Genomic DNA, 9,919 nt, shown 5'->3' with positions numbered 1-9,919 from the left:
TACAAAAAGGATAATGTCTCTGATGAAGGGTGGCAAAATATGTCACCCCGAAATATGCCACTTTGGCGTAAGAATTATTTTGAGCTAAACGGACTTAAAAAACAACAGGTATAAGAAGAATGTTCTGAGTGTCTCTTTTCTTCCTGAAAGTAAGAGATAAAACTGCTGTATGAAAGGTATCCTCCCTACACTAGGAGGAAATAACATTTTTATCACTAGGGACAGGGAGTTGAAGCACAGAGAATTCTGTACAAACAAAACTTGTTAAAATAGCTCTTATCTGCCTCTAGCCTCCCCATATATTTTAGTTACTTTTCCACAATTGCCTCTCTCTGTTCAAACCAGTATAAAAGCATTTAGGTTGTGCCACTTCTTTGGGTCTTCATTTTCTTATAAAAAATTCTGTGTCACATAAAACTTACACTAAATAAATTCATGTGCTTTTCTTCTGTTAATCTGTTTTATGTCAATTTAATTCTCAGGCCCAGCTGAAAATTCTAAGAGGGTAAAGTTTTGCCTCTGCTATACTGAAAAAGAGAACAATATTATACAGTTACATTTGAGAACTCTATGATCTGATATGTCTTGCTTCTTCAGAAATTGTAATATTGTAGTTTTATATAAAGTTCATTCTTTTTTTTTTGAGACAGAGTTTCACTCTTGTTGCCCAGGCTGGAGTGTAATGGTGCCGTCTCGGCTCACTGCAACCTCCACCTCCCAGGTTCAAGCAATTCTCCTGCTTCAGCCTCCCAGGTAGCTGGGATGACAGGCGGCCGCCACCAGGCCTGGCTAATTTTTGTATTTTTAGTAGAGATGGGGTTTTGCTATGTTGGCCAGGCTGGTCTCAATCTCCTGACCTCAGGTGATCCACCCACCTCAGCCTCCCAAAGTGCTGGGATGACAGGTGTGAGCCCGAGACCGGCCAAAATTCTAATAATAATAATAATAATAATAATAAAAAACATTTAAAAAGTCATTTTATACGGATTTTAGAAATAATTGTAGGAGAAGACAGCAGTGAGTCTTGTATAGCAATTAACAAATACCCTTCTCATATAATTATTGGTATTACAAATTTACATTTGTTAGCTTTCTTTTTTTAATGTGTAGAGAGGGAAGCATTGAAGAAACATGTTTTGGCTCCTTTTCCTACTCTTGTGTTCCCACTTTTCTCCCTCCATATCTCTGCTTTGCTTGGTGAAAACAGAAATGTAGGTGTTGCTGGGCGCAGTGACTCACCATTATCCCAACACTGGGAGGCTGAGGCGGGTGGATCACTTGAGTCCAGAAGTTCAAGAGCAGCCTGGGCAACATAGTAAGAATGTCTCTACAAAAATCAAAATAAAATAATTAGGTGCGGTGGCTCATGCCTGCAGTCTCAGCCACTCGGGAGGCTGAGATGGGAGAATTGCTTGGGCCCAAGAGGTCAAGGCTGTGGTCGCACCACTGCATTCCAGCCTGAGCAACAGAGCGAGACCCTGTCTCAAAAATGAACACAATAAAACAAACAAACACACAAACAAATAAATAAATAAAGGTAGGGAAAGCAAGACAAAGTAAGAGCCTTGTAAGAGGGTGCATGAGTGAGCTCAGTCAGTCTCTTGGATATCATTTACATGAGGGTGTAAATTCAGAATGGAACTCAGTGAACAGTCAGGAGTTCTACAAATGACTGAGAGGTTTCAAAAAGTTGTTGATGACATTTGAAAGAACAGAAATAAGGTCTTCAGGGAGGATATTTGAAACTATTTAATTGTAGAGACAGTTTTGTTTTGTTTTGTTTTGTTTTACAGGCAGCCATCAATCTGCTTTTGGTCTTTATACTTCTGCCTTTCTGTGGTGGACAGACCCCGAGGTGACCTGCATGATTCCTACCCCCGGTGTTCATGCCTTCGTATAATACCCTCTCCTTGGGTATGGGCAGAACCTATGACTTGCTTTTAACCAATGGGATATGGCAAACGTGATGGGATGTCACCTCTGTGATTAAGTTAGCATAACAAATGTGATGAGATGTCATTCCTGTGCTTATGTTACATTATATAAGATCCTGACTTGCTGGCAGATTGGCTCTCTCTTGCCCTCCTGAAAGCCTTGAAGAAGCAAGCTGCTATGTGACAGCCATTAAGAGGGTCATGTGATAGGGAACTGTGGGCAGGTCGTGGCAGCCTCTCAGTTCTCCAGCCTCCAACAAGTGACTTCTGTCAATAACCTAAGGGAATGCTGAGATAGACCTTTCTTCAGTTGAGCCTCTGATGGGACTGCAGCCCTGGCCAACACCTGGATTACAGCCTAGTGGGACCCAGAGGGAGAGAACAAATGTGTGTTGATAATATTGTGTGGAAGATAATAAATGTGTGCTGTTTTATGCCACTAAGTTTGTGATGCAGCAACAGATAATGAATTTGCTTTTTTAGAAATTTCATACAAATGAAATACCATAATAAATCGTCTTTTGTCTGGCTTCTTTCCCTTAACACATGCCTTTGAGATTCATCAATATTGTTGCATATATCAGTAGTCATTCATTTTTATTGCTGAGTAATATTCCATTTATGGATATACCACATTTGGTATATCCATTCACCAGTTGATAGACATTTGCATTGTTTCTACTTTTGGGCTATTATGTTTCTACTTTGGGCTACTATGAATAATACTGTTACTGTAATAATACTAATACTGCAATATTCATGTACAAGTCTCCGTGTAGATGTATGTTTTCATCTCTCTTGGGCAGATATCTAGTAGTAGAATTGCTGGGTCATATGGGTAGTATGTTTAACTTTTTTAATGCTGCCAAACTATTTCAAAATAGGCGGCACTACTTTACATTCTCACCAATGGATGATAGTTTCAGTTTATTCACTTTCTCTGTAAACTCGGTATTTTCAGTTTTTAAAACCGGTATCTCACTGTGATTTTAATTTTTATTTTCCTACTGACTTTGGAAAAGTGCTTATTAAAATCTTTTGCCAATTATTTTTTCGATCGAGTTGTTTATCTTCTTACTGAGTTGTAAGAGTTGTAAGGATTCTTGTTATAGTCTGGATAGAAGCCTTTTAACAGATGTATCAGTGAATGTTCAATCAAAGAATCAGAACCATTAGGAGCCATACATATATATACACACACACATGTATATTTTAAATACACACAGATTTTTTAAATCAGAAATTTGGCCTTATATAAATCAGATCAGGGGTCTGATTGTGCCCTGTGTACAAGCTAATAAGTTAGCTTGTTATTATTTCATGAATGCTGACAGGAGATATAAGAATCTTGGGACAGAGAAAAAGGATTTCATATTGGTGGTACAATAAGCTGAATGAGAATAAGCATTTTGGCATCAGCTCCTCTTGCCCCTCAAGTTCCACGGAGTAATGTGAGTGACACTGATGGGTGACTGAACACACAGTGGTCTTACAGGAGAAGAACACTGAAGCTGAGGCTGTAAACAGCCTGCTCTTTGTCCGGGAAGGAAACATTACTTCATCCCACAAGGTTACTCATGGCAACTATCACCCTGAGAAATGGCCTGGGTGAAGAGCTCTGAGGGCCTTGTGTTCTGAGCATTCTCAGCAAGAATGTGCAAGGAAGCTCAGGGCTCATGGTGAAGCCTCTCCCAACAATCTAACCCTTGCCCTCTAAGGCTCCTTTGGGTATCAGGAGAAGTATACAAATACGTATCAGTGAGATTGAAACAAGGTTGTGCTGGTCCTTGTGTTTGTACACAAATGGTGAAGGGCACATTCAGGAACTGTCATCGGTGGTCTCAGGCATAGGGGAATAATTCAGCACCAGACATATCCACATGAGCTTCTGTGTTTTCATTAGCATATAGACAGGGATGACAAACTCAGTGGTAGGTCAGATTTCCCCTCACAGCTGCTGCTTGTTACAAGTAGACCACAAGATCATTTTGCCAGACTGTGTTGGTGGGTATAACAGACAGAGAGAGCATAAACTCTTCTGCCCCTCCCTCTACTTCCCAGGGTCTAAGGTATTCCCTACTCTGGTGCTAGGGTGTTGCTTTCCCTTCATGGCCACAAAATTGATGTGTCCATTCTGGTAACCGTACCTTTTTTTCTAAGAATCTCCTATTTGTACCCAGGGGGATCAGGTATGAGAGGAACAAGGGCATTTTAATGAAATTTACAGAGATCCATTATATCTTCCACCTTGGCTCACACAGACCACTCTACAAGGACTTGGTGATTGATGTACTGAACCAAGTGATCATTACCTCTAGGATCTAGGACCATGTCAGTCCAACAAGTTTGAATTCAATAAGAGAATCAAGTAATTTTGAATGCTTAGGCATCTTTTTTGCCTGACTGTTACATGGAAAGTATACCAATCACACAAGTCTGGGGCTGCTGTTAGTGGAATAAAAGAATCATTGTACTCAGAAATGGTCGGGGTAAAAATCTCACATTTTCAAAATAGGTCTATATAACCCCTTCTTTCTTCCTGATCATTACAAAGAAGGAGGCTAAAAGGAAATGATCTCTCTCTGGGGATAGCCACATGCATTGACCAAACCACCTTATTAAAGTGTTTGAACCAGAAGGAGGTGAGAGAGATAGACTAAGAAATTTTGGGGGTTGATCTTTCGAGAAGACTGTTTTAGTGCTCTACAATACCTAACGCCAGCCCACGGCATTAGGTGGGGAGCAGATTCTATGGTGGGGAGCATGGAATCTCCTTTGAATAACTTGATTATTGGCCCATTGTCAGACAGTCTTTGAGGGAGAGAGGAGAGAGAGGGGAGATGATACAATGGCTTTAGCCTGTGCCTGCTGAGCTCAAGTCTGACCAATATTCCTTTCTGGACTACCTGCTGTTTGGATTGTGAACTTGCTTAGACAGCCCCTACAATGGCATAAACCAACTCCTTGTAATAAATCACACACACATTGGAAATTGTTGGGATGAACAATTTTGGGAGTGAGAACTAGGAATTCTCTTTTGGACATCTTCAGTAGATGGTGTAGACCTCCAAATGGGGAAGTCAAGTAGGTGCTTGGATGGTTAACAACCATGAGGGCTACAGATGTAAATTTGGGACTCATGATTATAGAGATGCCTATTTTAAACCATGGGTCTCATGAAATTGGATGGGATCACTAAGGAGAGAATGTATACAGAGAAAAGGAGAAAAACCACAACTGAGCCCTGGGTAGTCCACTGTTTAGAGCTCCAACAAAGCAGGAAAGCCAGAAAAGAAGATGGAAGAGTCATGGTCCCCGAGGTAAGAGAAAACGAGAGAGTGTCATGTCATGGAATCCACGAGCAAACAATATTTCAAGAAACTAGAGGCCAAATTCCAATGTTGGTAAACCGTAAAAGGAAGTGACTACTGGATTTTTTTTTTTTTTTTTTTGAGACAGGATGTCACTGTGTTGCCAAGGCTGGATGCAGTGGCTCAGTCTCAGCTCACTGCAGCCTCTGCCTCTCGGGCTCAAGTGATCCTCCCACCTCAGCCTCCCAAGTAGCTGGGATTACAGGCATGCACTACCAAGTCCAACTAATTTTTGTATTTTTAGTAGAGACGAGGTTTCACCATGTTTCCCAGGCTGGTCTCGAACTCCTGACCTCAAGTGATCTGCACACCTTGGCCTCTCAAAATGCTGGGATTACAGGTGTGAGCCATCTTGCATGGCTGTAATCATTGGATTTGATAATCACAATAAATCAGCGTTCATATGAAACATTTTGGAGCACTTTTATAACACCTGTAGTCTCAGGATTTTTCTCTTACATGAGATAGTGGGAGGTAGTTATAATCATTATTATCCCTCTTTTATTAATGAGGATTTGGGGCTAAGACAGATTTTAGGGAATTGCTCAAAGTTAAAGTAGCTAGTCGTGGCAGACCTGGGTTAGAACCAGATTTCTTTATTGCAGCTCATTTTTCTGATTCTAAATCCTGGTTGGCATAGGAGTCACCTGCGGAGCTTTCTAAAAATATAGGCACAAATAATCTCATCAAGGAACTCTGGGATAAGGGTCAGGTCATAAGCATAAAAAAATGTACATATACAATTCATCAAGTCGTTCTAATGAGAGGCCAGAGTTGAGGATCTATAATGAGTTAGTCTATAATGTATTCTAAGCAACCGTTAAAATTAGACTTCTTAGGATGAAAGTCTATGCAAGATTTGGTTAACTTAGCTCATGAAGGTCAGCGGAAACGTCTTTGAGTTTCCCCAGGGTGGAAATGCTAATTAACCCCCTATGTTAATGCCTCAGTTCAATCTGCTAAGTGTTTTCTTATAATTAGTCCCCTGCTTCTGAACGGAGAAAACACTATTAGGGTTTTATCCAATCACAATACATCGTGCAACACCACATGCAAATCTACACACAAGTCAGAACTGCCTTTCCCAAAAAACAGTTGTTTTCTTTGTGACTGAACTTCCAAATTTAACTTAGTTGTCTCATCAAATGAATTTCCATGACTAGGTTCCCCAGTTTGAGAATCACTTAGAGTGACGAGAGATGCAACAACTGGGAACGTATGGGGATTGTCATCTGCAAGTTTATGAAATAAGGATTGTATCCAAAACGTAAGCACTTATCTGCTACAAGAGAGAAAATTATGATTTATGGGTAATTTAAAGCAGGGACTCATACTTATTAAATTGTGAGGTATTTTTTTTCCCCCAAATTTTTTGTTGCCTAGGCTGAAAGGCAGTGGTGTAATTGTGGCTCAATGCAGCCTTGACCTGGGTTTAAGTGATTCTCCCACCTCGGCCTGCTGAGTACCTGGGACTACAGGCATGCTGTCATTCCCAAAAAATGTTTGTATTTTTTGTAGAATCTGGGGTTTCACCGTGCTGCCCAGGCTGGTCTTGAACTCCTGGGCTCCAGGGAAGAAGTATGTACAGACGTTTTTTTCTTGACTCAATTGTAAGCTTTTTCAGAACAGGAACCATGTCTTATTCAGCTCCCACAATGTTTAAGAGTAGTAAAGGATCAGTCAATGTTTGTTGAATGAATAAGTGAATGAATGGGTGATAGCTTCTTGTAGTTTCTGATTTATTAATAAACGAGTAATATATAAATTTTTCAACACTGAGATTTTGCTTTGTATCTTTTTATTTTCTTATGTGGTTTCTTTTCTTCTGACGTTGTGCTGCTTGTTTGTTTTCATATTGCAAGATTTGAAGGAAGCTTCAAAGAGCTGACGAGATAACGCTGCTTCACAGGCAAGTATTCCCTCCCCACCCTAGTGAAGAAGGCAATTACTATTTTCTCTTTCTGCTGAGGGAATGAGACTCAGAAAATACAGGGATTTATATGTCACAGACTTTGCAGTAAAATTAGCATTCGAATGTTTAGCCTTCACAGTGACAGAAGCAATTCTTTATTTTATTCTGCTGATTCCTCTTTTCTTCTGCTTTTCTATTTATGTGTGGGGAATCTATGAGATAAAAATAACCCCTACATTTCTTATTCCTTTCTCAAAGAAAACATTTCCCAGATAAGAAATAATGTTAAAAATAAGAAACATCAAAATAACTGATAAGGTGAGAGGCCAAGGGAGATGAGCAATGGTGTTACCTAGCTTGTCCCAGCTCTACCTTTTAAAACATTTTTTTCGGAAAATATTGCGCATTTGTTTAGAAATATGCATCAATTAATTCACACAGTTTAACAATATTTATAAGGGAAACATCCATGTAACTGGCATTCAGATTAAAAAATTAAACATTGTGAGCACTTCAGAGTAATCCACCTATCAATTTCTGATTATAATCCCTGCCCTCTTTCCAGGAGAAACTGTTTTCTTTATGTTAATCACTTTCTTTCTTTTCTTTATAGTTTAACCACGTCTGCGTACATCCTTAAACAATATTGCATAGTTTTTGTGTGTTTTCAAGCTTTGTATAAATCATAGTCTATATATTCTTTTATATTTCTTTTGAGACAGTCTCACTCTGTCACTCAGGCTGGAGTGCAGTGTGCAATATTGGCTCACTGCAACCTCTGCCTCCCGGGTTTAAGCGATTCTTATGCCTCAGCCTCCTGAGTAGCTGGAACTACAGGCGTGCACCACCACGCCCAGCTAATTTTTGTATTTTTTGTACAAAAGGGGGTTTTGCCATGTTGGCTAGGCTGATCTCGAACTCCTGAGCTCAAGTGATCTGCCTGTCTCAGCCTTCAAACGTGCTGGGATTAAAGGCATGAGCCACTGTGCCCAGCCTGTATAAATTCTTTTGTGTCTTTTTGCCCTCAACATTATGCTGTAAGAGTTACTCATATCGCCGCATGTAGCTGAAGTTGATCAGTTTTGTTGTTAAATGATATTCCTGCTTGAATATACTATAATTTTTTTCATGTGTATGTATATCTTTAACTTTACTAGATACTACCAAATTGTTTTCCAAAATGGTTATACCACTTTACAACCTCACCAACATTAGAGTTCCAGTTACTCTGAATCTTTACCCACACTTGGCATTCTTTTTGTCCCCCGCCTTATTTGTGGCTATTACAGTGCCAGGATAGTGTGTATCAGTGTGGTTGCAATTTGCGTGATAACTAATGAGGTTTACACCTTTTCATTGACAATTTGGATTTCTTGTTTTGTGAAGTATCTGTTCAAGTTTTACTTATTTTTCTGTTGGATTGCATGGCTTTTTCTCAGTAAATTTGGTCTGTCTTTGAGTTATAAAGGTGGGCATTGATAGTGAAGTTCTGTGGTAATAGCCTACCTTTCTAGAAAACTGTTAGCTGCAGTGTAAATTTTTGTTTTTGTTTTTGAGATGGAGTCTCGCTCTGTAGCCCAGGCTGGAGTGCAGTGGCATGACCTCAGCTCACTGCATCCTCTGCCTCCCAGGTCCAAGAGATTCTCCTGCCTCAGCCTCCTGAGTAGCTGGGGTTACAGGCACTCGCCACCACACCTAGCTAATTTTTGTATTTTGAGTAGAGACGGGTTTTTGCCATGTTGGCCAGGCTGGCCTCGAATTCCCGACATCAGGTGATCCGGCCTCCTCAGCCTCCCAAATCGCTGGGATTACAGGCATGAGCTCCCCGCCCAGTGCTGGGATTACAGGTGTGAGCCCCATGCCTGGCCCAGTGTAAGTTTTTGGGAGTGGGGTGAGGAAAAGAATTGTGTGTAACGGCTTCTCCTTTTCAGATGCTACCTCCAGGCAGTTCATGAGTTTTCTGCTCTTGAGCCTGGGTAAATGACTCTGTAAGATTTGAGTAAGTGCCACCAAGGGAGAATACAGAAAGCTGATATCAGGAGACAATTTAATGGGGGACATCAAAGGATATTTATTGCTTGCGGAAGACCTTCTGTTAATTATTACCTAGAAACAGAGAGCAGAGCATTCGCTGGCTGATCAGCCCCCTAAACTGGTGACTCCCCTTTAACTAATGCTTTGAAGATAATTCAAATTCCCATTAGACCCATTACCTCATCTGGAAACCACTGTTTACATGGAAATGAGCCAAATGAGAAAGGGATTTTCTGAAACAATCCCCTGGAGGAACACATCTTGCTTTCCCTTAAATAAAGTAAAGAGAAAGTGGAGGACAGAGAGGAAAGTAGAAGAAAGTTAACTGTAGTTTCTGATAAACACTCTGCTGGAGCACCTTTGTGGGTCTTTAAGCAAGTACTATTTAGGAAGAGCTGATGGGCTAACTGTAATTCAATGATTGATAATTGATCTTTTAAACATTTTTTCTGCACAGAGGATTAATCTGAAGAGTTTTTTTTGTTTTTTTTTTTTAAACAATGCTTGAGGTGGTTGGAATTTTGCAAAGCATTATTTCTCAAACAAGACAGGAATTATAACTGTATTTTTTTTGAGACAGAGTCTTGCTCTGTCACCTAGGCTGGAGTGCAATGGCACGATCTTGACTCACTGCAACCTCTGCCTCCCAGGTTCAAGTGATTCTCCTA

General features: G+C 40.3%; 1 annotated feature.

Annotated features, from left to right (window-relative positions):
- Positions 1-417: a transcriptional cis regulatory region, noted in NCBI's record as "candidate enhancer chr3.5052 targeted for multiplex CRISPR interference". NCBI's record gives its function as "positively regulates MRPL47 gene expression in K562 cells {active_cell/tissue: K562}" and the evidence as "EXISTENCE:mutant phenotype evidence [ECO:0000015][PMID:30612741]".

This window comes from Homo sapiens, chromosome 3 (assembly GCF_000001405.40).
Source record: "Homo sapiens chromosome 3, GRCh38.p14 Primary Assembly".
NCBI classification, from domain to species: domain Eukaryota; kingdom Metazoa; phylum Chordata; class Mammalia; order Primates; family Hominidae; genus Homo; species Homo sapiens.
The sequence above is the reverse complement of the archived record's forward strand: the minus strand, read 5'-3'. Positions and strand labels throughout refer to the sequence as shown.